At 40.8% G+C, this 26,494-nt stretch overlaps 1 long non-coding RNA gene and 1 pseudogene across 2 annotated transcripts in view; one reads left to right on the top strand and one right to left on the bottom strand.

The window, feature by feature from the left end:
* Positions 1–1,977: 1,977 nt before the first annotated feature.
* On the top strand, positions 1,978–3,248 carry LOC105374106 (uncharacterized). Its single transcript, XR_924479.3, has 2 exons — positions 1,978–2,065; positions 2,706–3,248. It is a non-coding gene; the product is annotated as an uncharacterized LOC105374106 (long non-coding RNA).
* A 1,626-nt stretch (positions 3,249–4,874) lies between these two features.
* Positions 4,875–26,494, bottom strand: part of COL6A4P2 (collagen type VI alpha 4 pseudogene 2) — a 60,987-nt pseudogene continuing 39,367 nt past the window's right edge. The window contains exons 20-23 of the transcript NR_027898.1: positions 17,678–17,768; positions 14,197–14,881; positions 12,315–12,411; positions 4,875–11,667 (exon numbers count right to left, since the gene is read on the bottom strand). The product of NR_027898.1 is annotated as a collagen type VI alpha 4 pseudogene 2 (transcript). The remainder of the gene's footprint in view (positions 11,668–12,314; positions 12,412–14,196; positions 14,882–17,677; positions 17,769–26,494) is intronic.

The following is a 26,494-nucleotide window of genomic DNA, read 5'->3' as shown; positions in this document are numbered from 1 at the left end:
CATCTTTTAGCTTCCTAAGAGATTAGCTAAAGAAGGAATGCTTTTGTTTGCAGAACTTAGAGAGACGATAAAGGGGCAAGTAATGTTTCTCTCCTCTCCAGTCTCCTCAGACAGAAAAGACCAAAGCCCAGAAAAATAGAGTATCTTCTATGAAGTCACCAGGAAAGCTGCGGAGGGAACCAGATGCTGAATTCACATGCCCCAGTCTTGGTATTTCCCATAACACCGTAATCCCAACATTGACTCTCCAGCTGTATTACAAATATACCTTTGAGATTATTCAAAAGTTAAACGAAGAATCCACCATGAGATCACAAGAGGTCAGAAATTAAAGGAAGAACCATAAATAGTACACAGTCAGCATGATCTCCACTCAGGAGAGCTTGGGGAAAATCCCTGTATGCATTTATACATTTTGATACATGGCTGGGAACCAAGTTCTGAGCCTACCAATCGCAAACCCTCCACTTTTCTAGGATCAGTGAAATCCACTACATGTTTAAAAGTGCAAAGCAGTCAATTCACGTAATGATTAAAACCCTTAAACTTTGCAGAGCGAACCAAGCAGATGCCAAATCAGTTCAAAACACATTTTAATTCTAATTTTAGGCTACCAATTGAATCATGGTGTAAGATTTGATGCCACTTGAACTTTCTGGGTCTCAATTCTTTCATCAGATAAATTAATATCCCCAAAGCAGTGCAAGGTTATAATTAATGAAATAACAGATCCAAGGAGGAATTTAAAAACACATGAACCTTTTTACAATTGACTGATGGAGGCAGATGCCCTGGTGTCTGAAACAAATGCAGAACAAAAATAAATGCAGAATTACTAAGCAAAAAGTTGTTCTAGAGCAAGAGATATAGAAGGCAACCAACTGTTGGGGTGGCTGTGGGGCATTTCTAACAGTCTGAAAACTGGCAGGGAGTTTAAATATCAGAACTAAAGGGAGAAGTGTCAGGCCCTGTCCTGGGGAGGGGATTCCAAGATGAAGAGGCTCATGGCCTAATAAGGAGACTAATTGGCAAATGGTGTAAAATGGAGGGAAAAGGGCAAAAAGATAAGGGTATACAAGGCAGCCTATAGGAGCTACTGATTAATTCTTTCTTGAAAGGGGGCAATGGGAGATGTTTTCCTGAGAGGCAATGAGAGCTGAGCTGGGTTTTGGCACAGATAATGGATATGGTACATAATAGATGCCTATTAAATATTTGTAAATAAATTAAATAAAGGCATTTCCCACAAAAGTATCACCAAGGGCAACAGCATAGGTGAATGGAATATGGCGTTTCCAGGAAATGGTATTGCTCAAATGAAAAGTTGGAGGGTCAGAACAACCGCCACCATAGGTGAGGCTAGAGATGAATGCAAAGGCTAGATCTCTGAGAACTTGCACAAATGATTTTCGTTGTGTCCTGTTGGATTTTGGAAGCTAGGGAAATTTGAAAACAATGCAAAAAGACATTCCAGGTAAAGGAACTATGATGAGTGTGGTTTGTGCTCTGCAGTTCCTGCTTCAAGGAAGAACTTGTTGCCCCACCTGCTAGGAGTGCTGTGAGCAGAAAGGCTTCAGCTGGTCGACTTTAGAGCCTGCCACAGTTTCAGAGCTGCCACGTCCACAGGTATGCCCTTCTGGGTGATGGAGGCAGGGGATACAGACCCAGCCAAGTTAGCCCACACTGGGGTAACTCACACAAGCCCACTTAGGTCCAGAGATCCCTGTGGGGTTGGCCGAGGCTGCCATCACAACTGACCTGCACTGCAGTTCAACTTCTCTTTCAGTCCACTCCTACTTCCACCCAGGCCAGAACCACAGGGGTGGGGTGGGGTAGGGTGGGGTGGGGTGGGGGTGGGGGTGGGGGCAGCAGATGGAAGAGCAGGGAATCTGAGGCAGAAATCAAGCCCATCCTCCCACCCCTGTGGCTCTGACTTTCAGAATTCTTTGGTGGCAGCTAACGGTTTGGAACAAATGCAGTATAGCTCAAGGAGCCCTGGTCTCGGGATAAAAAGGAGTTCAAGGCCAGTTTCTGTTACGGGTCTGAGCCAAGCCACATCACTTCTGTAAGATAGTTTATCCCAAAAAGGGGATGAACAATGCCAACATCCCAGATTTAGTGGTGGGGCTGGGCAAATACATGACATAACATGGGAAAGTGCTTTATAAACTGTGTATACAGTAAGAGTGGGTATGAATATTGAAACAATAGACAGTTGTTTCTGCCCTTGGCTATATTGTTGCTACCTCGGAATTTATGGAGTGTAAGGTTTATGTTGAGAGTCAGAGGACCTCCGTGAAAGGGTTATACCGCCACCTAGTAAACACAGGGAGAACTGCAGTTGGATCTCATGAATGTTCCAAGGATGTGTAAACTTTAAAATCCTAAGCTCCTACGGGCTGAATGGACTCTCTCTTGGCAAAGGGAACCCCAGAAATACCTTAAAACTGTATTCCCAGCCATGACGGGATGGAAAGTCAGACATGCCTGGTTATACCTCCTCCTTTTAGAGTTTAGACACAACTGACCAGCATTAATGTTAAAATAGGGATCATAAGACTGACAGAGGAGACTTTTCATGGCAATAAGATACCAAATTATAAACAGGACCTAAGACCATACCAGGCAAAGGGTTAAGTCACACACTCCTGCACTTAAAGAATCAACTATGTTCTAACTGCCACAAGGTTTCTCTTTTTCTCCAGCAGCTAAACAAGCACTGGCCTCCAGATAAACAGTATTAAAACAATTACAACTCATCCAGCTCACAGATGCTGATTCACTGAACCCCTGTTCCACCGACCAGAAACAGCTTTGACTGGACAAGAGGCTGAATTCAGTAACTTTCTCCTGATGAGAAGACCACCAGCCATGGACTGGTTCTTGCTGGTTTACAGAGACTGCACACCTGTGTACCTTCATGTCCTGAAAAGATCTTTTGACATAGGGGCTAGGTATAATACATTTCATCTATTCATTTCAAAATGAACATCGGTCATAAGTTACATGTATGTTTATCTAACATGCCTGTGTCAGGACCACTTTCTTGAATACTCAGCTCCTCCTGTAACTTGTTGAACATGTATGTTTAGCCAACCTTTTCAGCATAAAACTCCTACCCCAACCCCTCCTCCTTCCAAACGCCTGTCTCTGGTCTTGGCTAGAGGCAGGCTTCCCAGCCTGTGGGACAACCACCTTGCAGGCTGTAACCTTTTATAAGAATTAAAGCCTCTTCTCTTCTAAATTTATAAATTATGTTTTTTCTTAAGTTAACAAGTGGGGACAATCAACACACTTGAATGTTTCTTCCCAATGATCTTCTTATTATTGAAACTTTGCCTTGGTGTTCCCAACTCCTGGACATAGGAAGGGAAGAATGGGAATAAGAAATAGAAAATAAATCACAGTTCAAATCAAATACCATCCTCAGGATAGATCACTTTGGCCATTTTATGCTCAGGCAGCTGAAGTTATGCCTAAAACAGAGAAATGCATATACCCATTCATATGATGAGCAGCTCTGTGGCAGGATGGAGCATCTGCCATTTAATTCCCGTCAAAAAATCAGTTGCTTGTACTGTGTTAAGGAAGAAAAAGAAGATAGTATATTCATTCATTAGAAAAAGCCTGGATTATATCAAAACGGTTACCTTTGGGAGAAAAGATTATAGGTGATCTTTATTTTTTCCATGTGCATTTCTGTGTCTTATAGATTTGCTACCATGAACACAGTCATCCTTTTGTGATCATATTAAAATGATTGTTATAAAAATAGAATTTAAAATGTGCTTCTTTGAACATTTTGTATAAAGCTGATTCCATCCCACCTGCTATGTCACCAGACTGTGTGGAGAAACACACAGATTATAGCAGTCACACTTACAGAACCAGGAACTTACCAGAGAGCAACTCCATCCTGTGTCCCTGGGGGAAAACCAGCTGCTTGTGATCAGTTATGGACTGAATGTTTGTGTTTCCCCAGAATTCATATGGTCGCCTAATGTGGCTATAGTTGTATTTAGGGCCTTAGGAGGTAATTAAAGTTAAATGAGGTCATACGAATGGTCCCTAGTCCAATAAGAGTGGTGTGCTTATAAGAAGAGACACCAGAGGCAGGTGCAGTGGCTCATGCCTATAGTCCTAGCTACTCAGGAGACTGAGGCAGGAAGATCATTTAAGCCTAAGACATTGAGGCTAGCCAAGGCAATATTGGTATAGTGAGGCCCGTCTCAAATGAAAATAAAAAAAAAAAAAAAAAAAGGCACCAGAGAGCTTGGGTCTTTTCTCTCTTGCTGTCTTTATGAGCATGCACTGAGGAAAGGCATGTGAGGACCCAACGGGAAGGTAGTCATTTGCAAGCCAGGAAGAGTGCCCTCTGTGCTGCGATCTTGAACTTCTAGCCTCCAGAACTGTCAGAAATAAATTTCTGTGGTTTAAGCCCGTGGTATTTTGCTATGTCAGCCCCAGCTGACTAATGCATGATCTTACAAAGACCCCAAGCCGTGCATCCTCAGTGCCCCCACAGATCTCCTCCACACAGTTCCCAATTCTGTCTGGAAGCCAGGCCCATGGTTAGAGGCCCAGAGAATCAAGCCATGAGGCAGAGGAAAATCTCACAAAAAACACGATTTTCCTTAATATCTTTGCTGCAAAATGTTTCATCCATGGTGAACGTAAAGCTTTCATTTCACTTTTCATTAATAATGTCAGCCTTAATTGTTGAGTCACCATGTTTTGAAGGACAGAGGCCACTATAATGGGTGCCAAAGGGTTGGTCTCATGGAAAAATCACGGCTGTCTCTTCATCAACCACAATGTCACAAAGTATAGCACAGATTGCAGTGAGCAAGGATCACACACAGTCTCATGCCAAATGATTTAATAAAGAATGCCTTTATTTATCTACATTAAGTAGTAAGTATGAAGTTCGTTCACATTAGATGTCCCTTCTTCCATGCCCTCTCTTTGACTAATATTTCCCTATTCTCTGGTGGTGAAAAAAACAAACCAAGTTTCGATTCATTTCTGAATTAGGTTTTTCTCACTGCTTACACTGATTTTTATTTTGCTACATAGCACCCCCAAATTTTAAAATAATATTATAAGTTCAAGTTTATTTTTCATTCCGTTCTAATTCATTTAAATATCTTTCAGTTACTTTTTTAACTATTAGAATTCAGTCCTCAAGTCACAAATCATCTGGCCCAAGTCCTTGTTGGCGTGAAAACATTCAGACGTTTAGGAATCTGATGTCCAAGGTGTTGGAATGGGCTGTCACTTCTGAGCTGTGAGGTCCTGCCTCAGCCCTGGTAATCTCCATTTCATCAGCATTAAAAGCTCTGCCTTTAACAGTAACAGGGCTCTGCTTGTACTGTTACTGTATTGGGACACACCAAGCCTCACATTCTTCCTTGGTTTCAAACCGGTTGGCATTGCCGCCACAGCTGCCACACCAGAACTGCTGGCAAACCCGTTCCTCCTTGTTGTAATGCCACTTCAGGGTGTGATCCTGACACTCGCCTTCCATTGGATCCATGGAACAAGGACCTGCAACAAAATAAATACAGAGCTGAATTTCCTGCATGAGCATGACAGAAAAAGAGCAATGGTTTGGAGTCACAGACCTGGGAATGAATCTCAGCCTCACCACCAACTAGTTCTGTGACCTTAAGCAAGTAATTTAACCCCTCAGAGCCTCAATTTCCTCAGCTATAAAAGCAATATTTTTAAAAAACTTCTATATCACAAGTATGTTATAAAGTGTCATATAACATATGTGAAATGTGCAACATAGTTATAGCTATGACTTTGCACAGTACCTGGAAGACATGCCACAGATAATGTACACATGAGGGAATAAGTGAATGAATATTAATAAATCTTTCTGATACTGAGCACTCCTCACTTGTGTATTATACTGCTTTCCCTCCTTTTGCAAACCATCCCAATCCCTTGTCTCCAGTCTTCTAATGACCTAAGGAAATCTAGCTTATTTATTATTTATAGTACCCTGGCTCTTGCCTGAGAAATTAAGACATCTATTAAAGGAAAAACATGATGTTCCTGAACAATTAAAAACAGCATTGGAAATCAACACATTACAACAAAGCAAGATCTGAGACTCCCTGAATTTTACATGAGGCAATGATTTTCCCAGGTATATAACCCTCCCCACCTCAACTTCTAGGGAGAACAGATTTCCTTGGGTATCCTTTGTATCACACAGAAGTATTTCTGATCCAGGTTGGCCCTGAAGCACAGAATGCTGCCATCCTCCCCACAGTTCCTCCTAGGCCTTCCATGTACCCTTAAATAAAGAGGATACTATCTTCAAAAACACAAGCCTTAAAATTCATGCTTTGTTTCTGTGAAACTATCTGCTAACCTCCCAATAGTATAATCGGCACAGACTAGTTTTCTAGGAGAGGTGACCAGATGTACTGTACCCACAGGGATGAGATATGCTCTTAGTACGGTAAGAAATTGATCATGGAAATAGTCCTATGCTTTGAGTAGTCATATTTGAATTTGCTCACTGCATGACCCCTACTCTGGAGGATATAAGATAACAAGCAGTACAGGCCCAGGAGAAGTAAGAGAAATACTTATTCAAAAACCTGTTGTTGTCAACAGAAAAACACTCCAATGGTGAACTCTTTGCTGTACTCTCTAGAGCCAACAAATAGACTCGGGTTAGTTATCAGCCGGCACCAACCTCTGCCGTTACAACTGATTCTGAACTGACAAACCAAGAATTCATTCAAATATATCCATCACTTTTCCTAGGGACACTCTGTCATCTTTAGAACCTCCACCCTTGCTTTGGGTCTGAGAGACAATCAAACAGGGACTGCTCTTCCTAAATTAGACTTCTAGAGTAGCACTTTCTATAACGATGAAATGTTTAAAATAACGGAAAATCTGTGCTGTCCAATACAGTAGCCACCACTCCCATGTGGCTGTTGAGCATTTGAAATGTGGCTAGTGCAATCAAGGAACTGAAATTTTAATGTTATTTAATTTTGAATTATTTACATTTAAATGTAAATAGCCAATGTGGCTAGCAGTTATTACATTGGTCATTACGGCTATAGGTGAAAGAGTCCTTCATGCTTTATGCTAATTATCTCTAAATTATCATTGTAGCTTAACACTCAGAATACCACTAGTCTTAATTTTTCTTTTACCAGTATGTTAAGGCATTGAGGGCCAACAAATTTTTACCCAAGCAATTATCGCTAGCCCCCAGTCTTATATTTGGCTTTATTTTTTACCATGAATATTAACCTTTGCCTTCTTGGAAGAACTATGCGGTGGCAGTAACAATTTTACTCACAGTAGTTCTTGGAATCCAGGAGTAAAGAAAGGTAAAGGTGAAGAAAAAGAAAAGAGTTGGCAGGTATAAAGAGCAGCTACAATGAAATTATAATTTTGCTCCAGCTTATTCTATTCCCTGGCATATATGTCTTATAGCCCTACTTGGAGGGGAAAACCAAAAAATTGGTCTGTGTGCTTTGGATATAACACTGAACTTGAAAATGTACCAAGATCAGCCTGGCACCTGCGAAGAGAGATAACTCATTTAATTCTTTACAGGTAGGCGCAATGAAAGGTAGCAGGCACTATGGCAGAATTTGTCTTAAGATTCAGGAGCACCAAGGAGGCTGTGAAAATTTAAAACTACCTGGGGGCATAGAAAAAAACTCTAAGGAGAGGTGAAACTTGAGCTGAGTAGTAAAAGATGAGTAGATATAGCCCACGTGGACACTGTGGAGGAAATATAGACAGTCAGGTGAGGGTAAGCAATGGTACAGAGATCTGGAATAAACTGCGGGGCATAAAGGCCACGAAAGGCATATGCAGGGAAGTGGCAGCCAGTAAAGCCCCAGAGGACCAAAGCAGGGGTCTAATTGTAAAGGCCCATGTGCCTTCCACAGGCACCTGAACATTATCTTATAAACAATGAGGAACCATAGAAGAGGAGAAGGGACACAACCATATTTGTGTTTTAGAAATGTCAATCAGCTGTTTAGAATGGAACTGGAAGGAGGACAAATTGGAAGAAAGCAGACCAGTTAGACAGCAGGAGGCAAGGGAGAAGAGGTCAACTAGAATAATATTGGGCAATCAGGCATTTTTTGAAAGAAGACATCCAAGCAGCCAACAAATGTGAAAAAATATTCAACATCAATAATCATCAGAGAAATGCAAATGAAAACCACAACGAGATAGCATTTAGAGTAGTCAGAATGACTATTACTAAAAAGTCAAAAAACAACAGATGTTGGTGAGAACGTGGAGAAAGGGAACGCTACTGGTGGGAATGTAAATTAGTACAATCACTATGGAAAACAGTATGAAGAGTTCTCAGAGAACTAAAAATAGAACTGCTCTTCAATCCAGCATCTCCACTTCTGAGTATCTGCCCAAAGGAGAAGAAATTATTATATCAAAACGACACCTACACCCGTATGCTCATAGGAGCACTATTCACAATAGCAAAGTCATGGAATCAACCTAAATGCTTATCAACGAATTAATTTGATTAAAAACGTGGTATATATACCATGGAATACTACTCATCCATAAAAAAGAATGAAATCATGTCTTTTGCAGCAACATGGATAGAATTGGAGGATATTATCCTAAGTGAAATGATACAGAAATAGAAAGTCAAAAACTGCATGTTCTCACTTATATGTAGGAGCTAAACAATTGGTATATGTGGACATACAGAGTGGAATAAGACATTGGAGACTCCAAATGGTGGGAGGGCTGGGGCAGGGGCAGGGGCAGGGGTGTGTAGGATGAGATACTATCTTTTGGGTACAATGTACACTATTTGGGTAATGAGTACTCTAATAGGCCAGACTTCACCAATATGCAATACATCCACATGTACTTGCACTCCTAAATCTAATTAATTAATTTTTTAAAAATAATACTGAGTTTTGGCTTTCTATTCCTGGGCCACTGGTGGTTCATACCAATAAAGATAGTTGGTAAAGGAAGAGAAGGAGATTTGAATGGGAAAGACAATGAGTTGGGTTTGTTGAACTAAGCTGGCTTGATGTGACTGCAGGGAAATCCAGTGGAACGATCTGGAGGGTAATTGAATACACTATGCTATAGCACAGGAGAGAGTTAAAGTGGAAGATATGGATTTGAGAGTCACCAGCACAGAGGGGATAGTCGATGTTGTGGGGGCGGGGGGGAAAGCATACCTAAGTAGTGTGGTGTGTGCAGAGTGTTTGGAGGACTGAAGAAAGAATCTTGGGGAAGGGTGTAGCAGATTCATCATGACATTAATAAAGCCTAGGCTTCACAGCAAATCATTTGCATAAGGCTCTTCTAAATGAATATTCACTTTTCACTTAATTTTAATAATTTTTTAAAATCTTTTTCTTAAAGAGGGCCCCCAAATTGTATAAATTCCATAAAACCTGAATCCCCCTGTGAAGGTGGATCTGGGAAGAAGAGCCCACAAAAACGGACTGGCCAGAATAGAAGAACAAGAGGAGAATGTTGTCTCCAAAGCTGTGAGAAGAGAGGGTTTAAAGAGGAAGGTAGTGGCCAACAGTGGCCAGATCCCAAGAAGCACAAGTCAACAAGGTCTGGAAGAGCCCTTTGGTCTTTCTTGACGATTCAGAATAAGAGAAGGGCCAGTTCTTTTCTCCAACTGGAGGGCAGGAAGAGAGGCTTGCAGAAATACAGAAAGTTACAGGAGGTTGTGCTCGGTCACCTTTATTTCTTTTGAAAAGAATAAAAAAAGAGGGAGGCATATCTGCTAGAGGAAGAGGCATGGAGGAAGGACCTTGAGGAGGTGGTGAGGGTTTCGAATGACCTTGGAATGAAAACTGAAAGGAAACTGGCCAGCCAGAGCCACGTAACAACAGAGCGGCTGAGAAGTATCAGGGACCTTCAAACCTCAGTTTTTGTCTGTGAATGGGATTGGATTAGTTGACTAGGAAACTCTCCCCCATCCTTTCCACCTTGATTTTATGAGAAAGAATGCCTTAAAGCAGTAGTTCTCACTCTTGGTTGTTCAGTGGAATCACCGGGTAAGTCCTACACCCAGAGATTCTGACTGATTTGGGCTGAGGTCAATGTTTAAAGATCCCCAGGTGACTCTAGTGTACAATCAAGACTGAAAATCATTACCTTAGTAAGATTACCTGAGGATATTCTATACTGAAAACATAAGAACCAACAAGGTAAGTTATTCTATGTTTAATATTCTAGCCTAAGGAGGTGGTATTCCTATGTCTGTCTGATTCTGTTATTTATTTTGGACATGTGTTTGCTTTGAAATCTAAAAGGTAGCATGTATCATCAGCATCTTAACTAACTTGTGTGGATGTATACTATGTGGCAAACACATGAATTATCAAGTTGTATTCTCAAACCTATGAGGTAGGGACTCATATAATCCCCACTTTGCAGAGCAGAAAACTGAGTCACCAAGAGAGTGAATAACTCCCATGGCCACCTAGCCAGTAGCCCCAGATGGAGAATTATCTAGGCACATTCAAAACCTCAGATAAATGATCTCTCCTTTAATGTAACCAGGACTAACCACACCACTCACTAGAAACTCTTTCAGCTATCTTGAATCAGTTTCCAGAACTTCACAGAGAAGTTTTCCTGTATCTCTTTCTCATGTGTTTAGTGTTCTGCTTAATTTGCTGATCACATATAAAAAGTAACTTGGCAGCAAGTGCAGTGGCTCATGCCAGTAATCCCAGCACTTTGGGAGGCCGAGGCAGGAGAATCACCTGAGGTGAGGAGTTCAAGACCAGCCTGGCCAACATGGTGAAACCCTGTCTCTACTAAAAATATAAAAATTAGCCAGGCTTGGTGGCGGGCTCTTGTAATCCCAGCTACTCAGGAGGCTGAGGCAGGAGAATCGCTTAAACCCAGGAAGCGGAGGTTGCAATGAGCCGAGATCATGCCACTGCATTCCGGCCTGGGTGACAGTGAGACTCTGTCTCAAAAAAAAAAAAAAAAAAAGGAACTTGGCATTTGCATTACTGCATGCTGTAATCCAAAATTGATGCTACAGTTGTTTTAGATGTATCCAAAATGTAGAGCCTGTCTCCAAGTAGGTGCATTTCAAGGTCAGGAGTATCTTCACCACTTCTGCAATAACTCATTGCTTCTCTGCAAAGGTAGTGCAGACACTTCATAGAGTGTGCCTTCATAATACGCCCTGAAATAACTTTCATCCAGCTCCAGTTCGACAGCCAGGTGAAAGTTAGCCTTTGTCTTTCTTTTTAAACTATTTTCTTTAGCTGCATACATGAACCTGTGGATTTGTAAGCAAAGTGAATTTTAAAAAATTGCATGCTAACACAGTGCACAGGATTTTTTTTAAGAAAAAGTTAAAAATGAAAAAAGTGAATCCAACTTAAGGACCAAGAAGTAGTTTGGTTTTTACCATAGGTAGTGTCTGCATTTATTTCTTTTCTAGTTTCTTTTTGTTTTGCTGGTGTTTCTTGTTCATTTTCTTCAATGTCATATTTGTTATTTTCATAATTTTCAAGTGCTTCTTGCTGAGTTATAGATGTTGTGATGTCTTTTCTCTTCTCTTCTAGAAAAATGCCTGTTGCTTCAAGTGCTTCCAAATCATCAGCCAAGCCAGACATACCAAACTGGTGCCTGGGCAACCTGTATAGAAACAATCCATGTCAAACTGCATGAAAAAAATCTCAAGAACTGAGAGGCTCAACTGTTGTTACTGTTATTGCTGTGATTTGTAAGCCTTATGTTTGGGCATTTCCTAATGACTGTATTATTGCATTAACTATTTTCTTAGCTTTGCAGACATATTTGAAAAATCAGAATGATATGTTTAGCATTATCAATTTTACCTCTGGGATATGGAATTCAAGCTTGGGGCGATATGGTAGAATGGAAATTGGTAGAAATTGGTAGAATGCCAAGACCAGCCTTGGCAACATGGTGAAACTATCCCTACAGAAAGTACAAAACCAGCAGGGTGTGTTGGCATGGGCCTATAGTCCCAGCAATGTGAGAGGCTAAGGCAGGAGGATTGCTTGAGCCTGGGAAGTGAAGGCTGCAGTGAGCCGAGGTTATGCCACTGCACTCTAGTCCGGGCAATAGAGCAAAACCCTGTCTGAAGAAAAGAAAAGAAAGACAATCCATATCAGAACTGTCAAACCCAGGAGCATCCCAGGACCAGTGGTTTAGGTCAAGTTGAGGACTAGCATTGCATATGACCTTTCTTTAGGGAGAAAGTCTCTTCTGCCTTGGGGCAGAGGTATGGACCAATCTCAACCCTGTCCTCAACCCACCTGTTGACAGGTGTGACTAATTGCAGCACAGTGTCCCCACGGTGTAGGCCCCCACATTCTTCAGTGAGCTCTGGGGGTGGGTACTGGTTTGTCCCACCTAAAAGTAAAATAAAAAATCAAGTCAAATATAAAATAATATAAAATTCTAAAATAAAATAAAACAAAATATTATTCATGAAGACATCAAATTCAAAACATAAAATCAAGTAAAACAAAGTGTAAAATATAAAATAAAACAAATGAAACAAAATGAAATAAAACATAACAATATAAAAATAAAAGCAAATAAAACATTAATGTTTTTAATCCTGGAAGACATAAAATCAAAAAGACATAAAATATATTCACATAAAGCATAAAATAAATATAATATAAAAGCAAATAAAACAAAATAAAAACATAAAATGTATCCTATTATGTAAATAATGCAAAGTAAAATCCAACCTAAGAGAAAAACAAAATACAAAATACAATCTAACATAATACAATATAAAAAATAAAGTAAAATTAAATTAAAACAGATTAGAAAAGTGATTCCTTCAGGCCGCTTCTCCTTCAAAGAATCTCTAAGCCATCAGCCTTCTATTACCACTCCCCACATATATAAGAAATCTAAGGTTCAGAGACATTCATGAACTTTTCTAGGATCACATAGCTCACTAATGGCAGAGCTAGGACTAGAACTAATTCACTGATCTTTGTACCTCTCAAATTGGAGAGGTACAAATGCTGTGTTAGTACTTCTAAGATGTCCATCAAACTCCTTTTATTCTTATAGTGATGAAGGCGAAGATGTCCCTCAAGGCTCCCAGTGGGCTACCACAACCACCTATAAACTGAGAAACTAAAGTCTCCAAGCAAGGAGGGCAAGGAGGCTCCACATGTTACAGCAAAGCACCCTGCACATAAGTTGAATTATGCACTGGAGGATGAAACCCAAGACAAACTGCTAACAATGTGACCAGGATAATACCCTTGCCATCGCAATTCTAAATCTCCATTATCATGCTAGGGATACAGATTTGGCTGCCCACGAATTTAACTCATCTAGTTATAAGAGAAAAAACAATAACAATTCCACTAGTTCTAATTGGAGTTAAGGATGCTCGAGCAGGGGGATGGGAAAGAATTCTGGCTAGGACCCACTGGCACAGCCCTTGCCCCTTAATCTTCACTGTTGGCTTCATCAATCCAACCTGAAATGGAAGACCCTAGACTTTTGTCCTGTCTCCCTTACTTCCTAGTGAGTCCCTGAAAACCCCTGACTCCACACTGCCATGTCAACCTCTACTTTAAAATAAACATCAAATAAACTAGGATCATTGGTATCATTCTCAAGCTTGTAAGAAATGCAGACTCTTGTCTCCAATGCAGACCTACCGAATCACAATCTACATTTTAACAAGATCCCCAGGAGATTCATGTGCATGTAAAAACTTAAGAAGCACTGTCAAATACTATTGGAAACTGCAGTAATAAATAGTAATAGCAGTAACTATGCCTTATATGTGTACAATATTGGTGCTTTCAAAGCCCCTCCCTGAACATATGGCTTCACAATTAGAGAAAAGACTGCAATTCTCATTTTGACAAATGAGAAAATTGAAAAGTTATGTGGAAGTCTGAGGCTCCCAGCCATGAACTTCTCCCCTATGAGAAGTTCAGGACAAAAAACCATCACAAGGCTTGACACAATGTCAGGGCGGTAATAGTGCAGGGTTTTCAGGAAATGGGGTGCTCCCTGGCTTTTCCCAGGGATGCTGGGCTACAAACATTAGGCAATAGTGAATCTGCAACAGGCACCTGCATGCCCAAATGCCAGGCTCTGTAAATCCCTCTCCCCACTCCACCCAAGGTGCCCCAGTTCCCGGGGACTGCTCACTTTTTAGGAGGTTCAGGAAGGCCCGAGTGAATCCCTGAGCGTAGTTAACCTCTGGCTCTGAGACCCCTTGTAGGCGCAGTAGATGCTGCTCAGAGGGAGCACTGACCAGCTCGGCTAGCTCGGCTAGCTCATGGGTCCCCACACCCGGACCCAAGGCCAGCACAAAGAGGGTAATGCCCTTGCATTTGGCCTCCAGGGACAGAGTCCATAGCTTCTCCCTGTCCCAGCTACTTGTCTCGCTGGCCACGATGGCGAAGAGGACTTGTGCCTTCCGCGGCCGAGGGGCTGCCAGGAGCACATTCTCCAGCGTCCACTCCAGGGCGTGGCCCAGGGGGGGCGGTTCCCTGTAAGGGGCGGGCTGAAGCCTCGCGCACATGTCTCTGCATCTGCTTCCGGTTGCCATAGGTGGTCAAGTGGAAGCCCTCGAGCACAGGGAGGCAACCCACACCCGGCCAGAAGTTGGGTGTCGTGTGCGTCACCAGGGCCACACGCGCCCCACGGTGGGACGCGCCCGGCTGCTCAGCCACCTCCAGGTCTTCTAGCGCGGCGTCCGCTAGACTCAAAGACCCGCGGTACACGTCGGCATCCACTCCATAGGAGCTGTCCACCACAAATACCAAGTCCACGTCCACCTCCTGGGGCCCCGGCGTGCCAGCCGGGCATTCTGGGTCTGGTCTGCATTTGTCTAGGAAGGAAGTGCAGGGAGAGGCCGGAGTTAAACCACGCATCCCCTTCTTTTCCATGCAAAACACAGTTCCAGACCCTCAGTAAGGACAGCTGTCTCTGAGCACTATCCTCCAGGCATTGTGGTGACGTGGCAAGTCAATGGGCACTGTAAATGGGCTCATTTCTCATAAGAAGAATTGAGATCAATTGCACACTTAATGTTTTCAACCACTAGGCCATATGGCTTCCCAGTCTCTGTGTTCACAGACATCACCTCTATTTCCTCCTCCAAAAAATAATTATAATCTAATAATAGATTATAATCTAACAATAGATAAATCAACACTAGTGGGAAACCACGTAAAAAAACATTGATTGCTAGAGCTGCAAGTGACCTTAATGACCATATGAAAGTGCCTTTTTTTTAAGGTTAAGAAAAAAAGATCAAACATTGCCAATTTTAAATGAAAAGCTAATAGTGTAGTCTTAGAGCTCTCAAGCTGGTTCAGCATCGAAATGGCATGTATAATTTTTTTTTCTTTTTTTACTGTAGATTCCCAGGCTCCAGCCACGTCAAGATTCTGGTTTGGTAGTGTTGGGAGGGAGCTCAGAATCTATCATTGAAATGTATGCAGGTATTCTGATGAACAACGGTGTTAGAGACCCACTGCTGGGCCAAAATCTTTCATTTAGAACTGGCGGGGGCAGGTGTTCTTAACCTGGGAACCACAGTCTCCCAAGGTGTCTGTGAATGAGGATGGGAAAAAATTACATCTTTATTTTCACTACCTCTATTGAAATGAAATTTAACATTTCTTTTCACTGTGCATAAAGACAACAAACAACTATAATACCAGTGATTCCGACACCAATAGAAATCACTGATTTCCTTATCAGTGGTTGCAAATGGCTCAATATTATTTGCACTCACTAATACTTTGAAATAATAGTTATTAGACCTGCTAGATCTTATCATTTAAAATGCTAATAAAGAAGCACATGACAAATGGGTTAAGAATGTGGTATATATACACAACAGAATACTATTCAGCCTTTTTAAAAAGCAGGAAATTCTGTCATTTGTGATGTGGATGAACCTAGAGGACATTATGCTAAGTGAAATAAGCCGAGTACAGGAAGACAAATATTGTATGATCTCACTTGTATGTGGAATATAAAAAGTTCAAACTCATAGAAATAGAGCATAGGGAGAGCGGCAGGGAGGTGAATGGGGAAAGGAGGTACATTAGTCAAAGGGTACAAAGTTTAAGTTAGACAGAAGGATAGGTTCTGGTGGTCTGTTGCACAGCATGGTGTTATAGTCAGTAATAATGTATTGTATATTTCAAAGTAGCTTTAAAAAGTGGATTTTAAACATATTCACCATACACAAGTGATAAGTATTTGAAGCAATTGTTATGTTAATTGGCCTGATTTGATCATTCAACAATGCATACATGCATTGAAACATCACTGTGCCCCAAAAATTTATATAATTATTATTTGCCAATTAAAAATAAAACTTTTAAAAATATATATTGCTATATCAAAATTTTTAAGTATTTTGATAATGTCAATGTAATCATTTTCCTTTGTAATCCTGTTTTTTATTTTCTGCATTGAAAAACATTATTCTAAGGAGAGCATAGGTTTAACCAGATGCAGAAGGGATCTATGATACCAAGAAAGGTTAAAAACTCCTAATTCAGTCATTAGCAAAGCACAGGGGTAATAGTCAAGAGTTCAGCAACCCGGCTGCCTGGTTCACTCCAGGTCTATTCCTTACTCAGCATGTGACCTTGGGTAAATTACTTAGTCTACCAGAACCTCAGTTTCCTCATTTGACACATGGAGGTAATGATGATGATAATAATAGTACTTCCTTTTGAGGTTGTTTATGAAGTTTAAAAGAAAAACTGAGTTCATATATATGTAAGTGTTCAAAACAATGCCTGATGCATAGTAAAACCTCGATGAACACTAGCTAGGTTTAGGCTTCTAGAGGAGAGGGAACTGAGGCCCAAAAAAGCAATGTGTCAGATTAGATGATGGATGTGAAAGCAGTTCACAGTAGATGATGGATGTGAAAGCAGTTCATCACCTGTGACATACTCACAAATGGCAGTTACTACACTTGACTTGACCAAGTTGTCATAGCTGAGTATCTTGTGGTAGTACTGGGCTTAGTGTGGATCAAACACAGAAAACCATGACATCCCTTCAAGTTTACCCACTCTGGTGCTAGGTAAAATGGGTGTGGACAGGAGCTCTTCACATATAGGCATGCACGCGTTTCAGCAGAAACTTCTCTCCAGCACAGGTTGGTGTGGGATACAGCAATGGAGGATGGGAACCAAGACAAACTGGATGACTGGCCAGTATCCCACTGCTGGTCAATGGTGGTTCCAGGCCTAGAACCTATCACTCTTAATTCTTAGTTCAGTGGCCTGCCCGTCACACTAAGGTGCACTAAGGCAGGAACCACAAGCCCAGCCAACCCAGCAGCTAGCAGGACAGATAAATGAGCAGAGCATGCCAGGAGTAAGATAGGGAGGGGTAAGGACTGTGAGACTCCTCACCCCATTAAGAGGGGTCAGGCCCAACTCAGCTGTGCTGACTGTTTCTCATGGGAATGCAGTGTCTGTGACTCTCATGATAAGTCTGACTTCCTAAGAAAAACCAGAAATCCAGACTTCATAGGAAATTCTCTAGATTTTAAAACCCTGCACATGCCAAGTAAATACACATCTGCCGAGCAGAGCTAGCCTGTGGCCACCAGTGAATTCATCCTGTTCTAAAGGCTGTCCTGGCTTACCATAGCAGAGAATACAGCGGGCCACGTGCTCCACATCCTGCTGGCGCTCTGTCTCCCAGACGTACAAGTAAAATCTGTTGGTTCCATCCATCTAATCCAAACACACACACACACTCAAGTTTATGATTAGCTGGAGTAATTTCAGGCCATCTTTTTCATGTGTTTTCTTATTCAGATGAGAAAAACATGAATATGATTTTTAAAGGATATATAATTATATAAATATATGTACAAATAACTCAGCATTATACATTCCAGTTATTTATTGCTATTTAGTTCCCTAGTTCTAACCTGGAGGTTGGACTGTCATTGGTGTGGGTATGTGTATCGTGGGTCTTCAGACTCCCAATATGTGTAAAACTCAGCCAATATCACACATCGGAATGGGAGTAAGGAGACAACGTTAAATCATTTGTAAACTTCATAAATCTTTATTAATTGTTCACGGAATGCAGTGTGGTGGGAGCTATTGACCTGAATGGCAGACTCTTCAAAGGGGCAGTCGTAAATGTCAAATACCATTAGAATGGAAACAGTAGACACCATGTGGGAATCCTCTCTAGAGTATTCCTGGTGGTCAGAGCTAAACATATCACAACCAGAATATAAGAGTGAAGAGGGATCAGGGAAGGCTTTAGAGAGATATAAATTTATCTCCTTTATTTAGTTTATCTCCTTTACTTAGCCTTTTCAATTATGATTAATTTAACAACTAATAACAATGCTTAAAAGCAAAATATTAACAATAAATCCAACAAGGTCCATGGGTCAACTAGTTAGATGATCAGCAAACCCCTTCCTTCTTCTTCCTAGGGCACAGCTGGACTACATTTCCCAGCCCCTCTTGCAGTTAGGTGATGCCTACTGACTGGGGTCTAGCCAACGGGATGCAGGTAGAAGTGACATATGTCATTTCCAGTGCATGCACTGTACTCCATTACTCCCTCTCCCCTCATCTGCCAGTCAGGTGAGGAGGATCCAGAAAAAGGCTTTGAGGCCCTACGATATAATGGGGCCGCTGACAGAAGCAGCCCACATCCCAAAACAGTGGCACGTAGCAAAACATGCCTTCTCCCACACAAACATACACAAGGGCCCATATCCACTTATGACAGGTGGCAGAAATAACCACTTATGTTTGTTAAGACACTGAGACTTGGAAAAGAAGGTTTCACAGTTAACCTGCCATGACTTATACAGACAATTTGCAGAATGTCAAACTCATGATGAAACTAGAAATGTTTCTCTCAAGATTTGAGGTGTGGTTTACAAAGAGGTGGATGTCTAAGCTTAGTCATGTCCATCTTTGTATCTACTGTCTGGCAAAGCATGCAGAAAAGGGCCCCACTGAGAGTCAGCTTCTCCTCCTTCATCTGTGTGGGCAGGAACAAGCAGGCTCTGGGCCCTCCTCCAGGTAGCAACATGCTGAGGATATGAAGATGTTAGATGCTGAGGATATGAAGATGTCAGGCTAGACCTCAGGAAGATAGACAGTCAGGGGTTAATTTGCAAACAAAGTTTCTTAACATTACAGAGCTCTTCACTCTTTCTGCTCGGGACTGTAGTGTATCCCAAATATTGTCTTTCAGAGTCAGATTACTTGAAAAAAAATCCTAGTGGGAAAAGAAATATGAAGAGTTCAATGTTTATGCTAACGTAACACAGAAAACCATGGGAACAGGCCTAAGTCTCCTAAGAATAAAAGCAAAAAGCATCCTCTCTTGCTCCTTATATGGCAAAAGCAACCTTAAATTAGGCTTTTTCTTAACTTAGAAATGCAAATCAATCAAGACTGATTAAACAGATACTACATGAAAGCATTAACAAGCCATTTGGAGATATAAAGATGACATGGCCACATCTTCAAAGAGATTAAAATCCAAGTAGAAAGATAGATAAATGATTTTCAAACAAGAAAGAGCTCCAATAATATATTTAAGGAGCACAGGAAGAGGAGATTTTCATTTCAAGGGAAAGGAACAGAGGGAACCTAATGAAAATTATGGCATCTGGCACTTTTGAGAGAATAAGTCGATATTTAACTGGCAAAGAAGCAGGGAAATGCATTCTAGCGTGAAGGGACAGCATGTACAAAGGCCCAGAGGCGGACTGTGCTTATCTCTGGAGTTCTGCTCTATGCTCTTGCTCCCACAGATTAGCGTACACCCACCTCCAACCTGCAGCTGCATGGCGCACATCTGTGGAACTCCTTGCCACGTGAAGAAAGCTGGCATGAAAAGTGAGTGCAGCGCTGCCAACATTCAACACTCAGATCTACTGCACATGATCATCAGATCTGGGTACTGACCAAGCCAAATGGACCTAATTAATCACCAGGGATTGAGAAAACAGCGTAGGCAGGAATATGACACATCACTAGCTGTACTGGAAATCACACGAGGCAATCTGGAAGGCTTCTGAACCCAGAATTCATGGCAATGTGTCAGGAGATATGAAGAGGCTGCGATAACTCTGGGTGCATCAATTTTACTCCGACAGTTGTAGGGAAATGCTAAGTTAGTGTACGTTATTTTTTAAGCACAGGAAACATGGGTGAAGTATATTATAAAATGCAAAAATTTCAGTGACTTTTTAAAGTAGCATGAAAGACTTCAAACAAATTTGAACATTCCCCCAAGTCTGTATAAATTCATTCTCCTTTGTCTTAGAGATGGTTCATAGGGAAAGTTATGTGCAGCACTAACAGATTAGAGGTCAGGAACCTGGGTCCTAGTCCTTCATTGGCTATAATTGGCTATGTGGCCTTGGATAAACCTCTGGCTTCAGTTTCCTCAGCAACAGAGTTTTAGGGAAAGAGTCAATGCCCCTGAGTTCTCTTCATTTTCCAACACAGCCTGGTCCTAGGTAACTACCTTCTCTATTTGCTTCTTGATCAGGACAATGCACCAACTTTTCCACTTTAAGCAGCTCAGAGCACATAACTCTTCTATCTTTATTCTATAGATATTTGCTGGAAAACTATCAAATTCCACTGAATTTGAACACTTACCTTTTAAAACCTTTTCTAACAAACAATTTTATGATCATATTTAAAATTTGTACTGTTCCTGCAAAAACAAAATTGTGGGAACAAAAACATGATAAAAGTCCACAGGGAAGCTATGATTCAGTATAGATTCATCTGTACCTAGTTGTTATTAATAAACATTTAATTACTTTGACTTTGGACTTGCCAGCATGGTCCTTGTCACTGATAAAATAGACAAGATACTTCCTGAGAAAGTTCAAGCAGCGAGATAGCGTGGGAGGAGAGGAGAAAACTGTGTACGATTCCTACTGCAAAGTCCCATCAACACCAGAGAAGGAAATATCAGTAGAGTGTGTCTTTAACATAAACCAAGAGGTCTGCTTGAGGTTCAAATTTTTACCATAGTTTGAATCAGCACCTTTAGCAATTCTCTCAACCAACTTCATCCCTAAATGTCCAGTTGTGGTTTGTTGGGACTAGTTGTGTGCTAAAGACAGGAGTATATTGAGGGGAAAGGATATGGCAAAGGGGTTAAATTAACATCCTTTTTTGTTTGATAGACAGAAAGACATTTCTCAAGGAGTACAAGGACAACTCTCAAACTTCAACTCTCAACATTAAAAAAAAAAACTCCCCATGATCCCTGACTCAAACTTAACCCTGTGGGTTAAAGTCAATGCATCAGCTGTCGTACTAAGCTGCCAGAAGCCATGGGATAATGTTCATCTCTGGGACTGAGTTGGGGGAGTCTCTTGGCTTGGAAAGATGAGAATACAGTAGAAAGAAGCAAGTGCTAGAAAGGAGGATTTGCCTTGGACAGAGGAAGAACTAACTGGACCCTAAGGAGAGAGAATTAGAAACCATCTGTCATCAAGTTGAAGTAAGGACTTGAGAAACAAGGACAGCAAACTGGAAAAAGTAGGGGGAAGGAGACAGAGGGAGAGAGTAGCCAGGTAACCCGTGACTGACCCCAGGAGCTTGAGTCCAGTTTCGGCTCCTTCCAGTTGGCATGGTCCCACCAAAGACTGCCATGAAACAGCCAACTCTTCCTAGATTCCTTGGAAAACATTAGGTGTCAGCACTGGGTTAAGGGTTTAGGTTGTATAGTGAGACTTAGGAACCAGCCATATCTGAATGCAAATTTCAGGACTCTGTAGCTGAGAACAAGTAACTTCACCTCTGGCCTTCACATATCTGGGAAATGTACAATTATCATTATTAACTTGTAGCATAGCTATGAGGCTCAGACCAATACTCCTAAAATTTTAACATTTATGCAAACCATCTGGGGATCTTGTTATAAATACAGATCCTGATCGCTTCCATCAGGGGAAAGGCATCACATGCTGGGTGATGCTGCTGCTGGTGGTGGTCCCTGAACCACATTTTGAATAGGGAGGGGTTGGGATGATAAGGCATGGAAAGCATGTGGCATGGTGGCTGGAACTCCATAGGCACTCACTATCAGATTTAATAAATAGTGCGCAAAGGGCATTCTTATAGACCTCAAGAAGATGGTAATATAGTGACCCAATTGAGTAAACACATAGAAAGTGTCAGGTATCCCTGTGGGTACCATCTCTTATAATTCTCACAACAATCCTGTGAGTTTATCCCCATTTTACAGAGAATAAATTAAGGGGGCCCCACTGCCAAATAACATGCCCAGATGACATAAGGGACAAAACCACGGTTTGAAGCCTCATTGCCTAATTCTTCCTTTGGTGCTGGTCCTGGCCTTAGGGCATTAACAGTCTGGCGGAGAACAGAGCAGCCATAGGCCTTCTCTGAAAGGGCCTAACTGCATAACCCAAGACCACCTTTCTTCAAAAGAAATGTTCCCAACTTTAGATATGTTGATTCCTCTGAGTTGATTGTTACATGATGTATATATGTATCAAAACATCACTTTATACCCCATAAATATATGCAATTATTATTTGTCGATTACAAATAAAATAAAAATAAATACATATATTTTATTGTCTCCCCAAAATAGAAAAGAATGTCCTACTGAAATTATCTGAATTTTGAAATTATACAAAAATATACCCCCAAAATTTAGCCTTTCTCTTAATGTTTTCAGCTTCTAAAGGTGATTTTTTTGTTTGCCTCCCATTATAGCTATCATTCCATTGCTTGGCCTTCTTTTTTAAGAGCAATACACAGAACTCGAAATAGGGCCAATTCATAGACCTGTGTCATTGTGTTATTGTAAAGATAAAATGGATAAATACAGGGAAAGAACTTAAATCTTCTAAAGTCTCTCTTCTTTTCCTGTTTTTGATTTTTGACTTTTGAAAATCCCATTGCTAATGAGAATTCCAGACCTTGAGCAAGTTATTTAACTTCTCTGTGTCTCAGTTTCATCATCTGAAAAATGGGCTCATAATAACACTTATCTCATTGGACTGCTGTGAGGATTAAATGACTCAATAAGATCTTAGAACAGTGCCTAGATCAATAAATGTGAGCTATTAGGCATTGTTTCAAGGGAACATGGGCTAGACTTTTTATAAAGAAAAACAAAATTTGAAACCTGGCCACAAATTGCATTTTCCTTGTAATCCTCTGCTTTTTAACTTAAAAAAATGGGTCTAACAAACCTGAGAAAAACAAGCAATGGGGAAAGGATTCCCTATTTAATAAATGGTGCTGGGAAAACTGGCTAGCCATATGTAGAAAGCTGAAACTGGATCCCTTCCTTACACCTTATACAAAAATCAATTCAAGATGGATTAAAGACTTAAACGTTAGACCTCAAATCATAAAAACCCTAGAAGAAAACCTAGGCATTACCATTCAGGACATAGGCATGGGCAAGGACTTCATGTCTAAAACACCAAAAGCAATGGAAACAAAAGACAAAATTGACAATTGGGATCTAATTAAACTAAAGAGCTTCTGCACAGCAAAAGAAACTACCGTCAGAGTGAACAGGCAACCTACAAAATGGGAGAAAATTTTTGCAACCTACTCATCTGACAAAGGGCTAATATCCAGAATCTACAATGAACTCAAACAAATTTACAAGAAAAAAAAACAACCCCATCAAAAAGTGGGTGAAGGACATGAACAGACACTTCTCAAAAGAAGACATTTATGCAGCCAAAAAACACATGAAAAAATGCTCACCATCACTGGCCATCAGAGAAATGCAAACCAAAACCACAATGAGATACCATCTCACACCAGTTAGAATGGCAATCATTAAAAAGTCAGAAAACAACAGGTGCTGGAGAGGATGTGGAGAAATAGGAACACTTTTACACTGTTGGTGGGACTGTAAACTAGTTCAACCATTGTGGAAGTCAGTGTGGCGATTCCTCAGGGATCTAGAACTAGAAATACCATTTGACCCAGCCATCCCATTACTGGGTATATACCCAAAGGATTATAAATCATGCTGCTATAAAGACACATGCACACGTATGTTTATTGTGGCACTATTCACAATAGCAAAGACTTGGAACCAACCCAAATGTCCAACAATGATAGACTGGATTAAGAAAATGTGGCACATATACACCATGGAATACTATGCAGCCATAAAGAATGATGAGTTCATGTCCTTTGTAGGGACATGGACAAAATTGGAAATCATCATTCTCAGTAAACTATCGCAAGGACAAAAAACCAAACACCACATGTTCTCACTCATAGGTGGGAATTGAACAGTGAGAACACATGGACACAGGAAGGAGAACATCACACTCTGGGGACTGTTGTGGGGTGGGGGGAGTGGGGAGGGATAGCATTAGGAGACATACCTAATGCTAAATGACGAGTTAATGGGTACAGCACACCAACATGGCACATGTATACATATGTAACTAACCTGCACATTGTGCACATGTACCCTAAAACTTAAAGTATAATAATAATAATAAAAGAATATACATAAAAAATAAAAATAAAATAAAACAAAATAATAAAACAGCCAAAAAAAATGGGTCTAATGAAGTCTTCTTTTGAGACATAAGGCAATTAGACATTTCTTTTTTTTTTTTTTCATGTTTTAACAACATTTATTTGAATATAGTATACTGTCAATATTATTTCTAAAACTTAGTTTTTTTTTGTTTTTTTTTTGTTTTTTTTTATTATACTCTAAGTTTTAGGGTACATGTGCACATTGTGCAGGTTAGTTACATATGTATACATGTGCCATGCTGGTGCGCTGCACCCACTAATGTGTCATCTAGCATTAGGTATATCTCCCAATGCTATCCCTCCCCCCTCCCCCGACCCCACCACAGTCCCCAGAGTGTGATATTCCCCTTCCTGTGTCCATGTGACATTTCTTAACAAAGGGATTAGGCACAGAAAGTCCAAATGTTATAATGCAGTTTTATTTAGGTCTGAGACAACTCCATGGATGGCTTTATAAACCTTTTCAATATGCACCACAGCTTCTAAGCATGTTTAAATGGACTGGGAAGTTAGGACATCTGTTTACATAATTGCTTCAAATTGAACAACCATCATTTTTCCAGAAGCAGCATGTGGGTGTTGTTCTGAAAATCAAAATAACATAGAGGTGAAAGACAAAGCCCCACACATAATCAAAGAAAGCCTTCAGGCAGATAATTCAGAAGAAAAATCACAAGATATTTCCACTCTCCTAACTGGATTCCGCTAAGGCTGAGGAACAGAGTAGGGGAGGTTAAGGGCTGAATTTTCTGCCCAGTTGTGAAGAAATGAGGATTTTCTGAAAGGTCCTGAGAATGCAGTTGTCATTTTTACAGTTTCTCTCCTTACCAATGTCACCAGAAATGAGGTTACTCATTATAGCTGAGCTGGCAAGTATCATTTAACATGCTTTGTAAACTGTTAAATTTAAAGAACACGAAGTTGTCTCCCAGCATCCTGGGGTAAGAATATGTCCAATAAATGAAGAGGAGAGCAGATAGAAATGACAGAACTGAGGTTCAAGTACACAAGCTGGCACGACCTTCTCACATACCGTTATATCCCTTTACTCAGAACCTAAGGCAACTAAGAGGGCAAGAACATCACAACAAAGGATCATCTGTGTGCAAGATCCCAACACTGTCTGCCCAAGATTCCCTCTCAGAGAGCAGCACTGATGAGCATTGGAGGGATGTGATCACACCCCAGGAATCACTCTCCAAATGTTAAGGAAATCCCTTCCTGAGAAATAAACGCTTTGATAATTACACCTGGAAGGGAGCCTGGACAATATCTAGTTGCAACCCCTCTCCATTTTTGAGCTGAGTAAAATAAGACCAAGAAAGGTGAAGAGACTTGTCCAAAGGCACCTCACTATTGATGAGAGAGCCAAAGACAAAAGCTGCATCTCTAATTTAATTAGCTATTTGTTTATACCCTGCCTTTATAAATCCATTCTAGCAGTTTTGAGGATGTACCCTACCAACCCCCCCTGTACAGACATCATAGTAGGCAAGAGGGATGTAAGGATGAACAAGGAACTCATTCTCTGCATTTTAACTTTCTCAACTCAAGATATTTTGTCCATCCTTCCCCACAGTTTGGAAGCTGTCACAACTTTATTGATTCTTATGTGCATATTCAGAGCTGTGTCAACAAAATCTCTCACCTACCACTTCTGCTGCACACTGAACCTTCAGAGAAAATTAAATGGGCTGAATTGATTAGCTGTTATGTTGAACCATGTAACATTTCCATTTCTGCAGCTCAAAACTGGTGAAATATTGCCAATATCCCATGATCCAACCTAACATTCATAAGCAGCCTGGAATCTCTTAAGAAGAAAATCGCCCTTCATTCTGATAAATCATCCCAGATATTCCATCAGAGTGTGTTGCATGGGTTTCAATTAGGAA

This window comes from Homo sapiens, chromosome 3 (assembly GCF_000001405.40).
Source record: "Homo sapiens chromosome 3, GRCh38.p14 Primary Assembly".
In the NCBI taxonomy this organism is placed as follows: domain Eukaryota; kingdom Metazoa; phylum Chordata; class Mammalia; order Primates; family Hominidae; genus Homo; species Homo sapiens.
This window is presented reverse-complemented; position numbering and strand designations above follow the sequence as displayed.